This window comes from Homo sapiens, chromosome 21 (assembly GCF_000001405.40).
Source record: "Homo sapiens chromosome 21, GRCh38.p14 Primary Assembly".
Taxonomy (NCBI): domain Eukaryota; kingdom Metazoa; phylum Chordata; class Mammalia; order Primates; family Hominidae; genus Homo; species Homo sapiens.
The window spans coordinates 37,297,665-37,298,787 of record NC_000021.9 but is presented as its reverse complement, the minus strand read 5'-3'; positions in this window follow the sequence as shown (position 1 = coordinate 37,298,787).

Genomic DNA, 1,123 nt, shown 5'->3' with positions numbered 1-1,123 from the left:
CTCAAAGGCTGGGCTGCTGCAGAAGAGGGTGGGAAGTCAAGGCCTCCCTGAAGCCCAGGAATCAAGAGCATAGTGGACCACCATGTGCAGGTGCTCTCATGCAGGGGCCATCCCTCCCTTCCCAGGGGACAGCAGAACAGGGGGCCTCACTAGAGCTCTGTCCTGGGCTCGGTTGTCCAATTCAACCAAGTCTATGCTTCCCTCCCCTTCAACACGGTTTGATTGATGGATTGATTTTAGAGACAGGGTCTCACTCTATTGCCCAGGCTGAAGTGCTGTGGTGGGATCACGGCTCACTGCAGCCTCTAACTCCTGGGGTCAGCCTCCCACCTCAGCCTCCTGAGTAGCTGGGACTACAGGCGTGTGCCACCACTTCTGGCTAATTTTTTTTTAAACTTTTTTTGTAGAGACATTATCTCCGATCCCTGGACTCAAGCCATCCTCCCACCTTGGCTTCCCAAAGCTTCAGGATTATAGGCATGAGCCACCAATCTAAAACCCCAGCAGGGTGTTAGAACCTAGAACCTGCTGCAGCTTCCTCTCCAGTGATTAAGTGAGAACCGGTATAGAAGCCAATGGGCACAGGCTTAATCAGCCTCTGGTTATAGTCTTGTCCCATGGAGGGGAAGGGGGGCAGGCAAGAGAAAACCTTTTAACAATTATTTGTCTCCAGTTCACCACGGGTGGGACTTCTGTCCCTGAGAGCAAGGCTATGGGGCAGGTAAGGACCAAGGCACAACGTGAGATGTGCAGATGAGACAGAGAGGAATGGAAAGAAGCAGAACTAAAATCAGCAGAGGTGCCCAAACAGCACAGACTGACTGAGTGTCTTCACCTTCTTCATTGCTGGAGGCCAGCGTTCCTTACGCCGTGTTTTGAGGACCCTCATCACTTCGAGGGCTAGTTAAAGATTCAGACTCCGGCACTTGGTCCCAGGCATTCAGTTGTATGGCCTTGGGGCCCTGCCAGGGAATCTGCCTTCTCAACAGGTCAGGAGATTTTGACTCACACTCAAGTTTGAAAACCCCTCGCTGTGGATAGAAACACTGGTGAGGTGGACTACAGAATGTTCGATTTATTCTTTTGCCTCTGAGCAAGATGGATTTTCCTAAAATAATTTCCC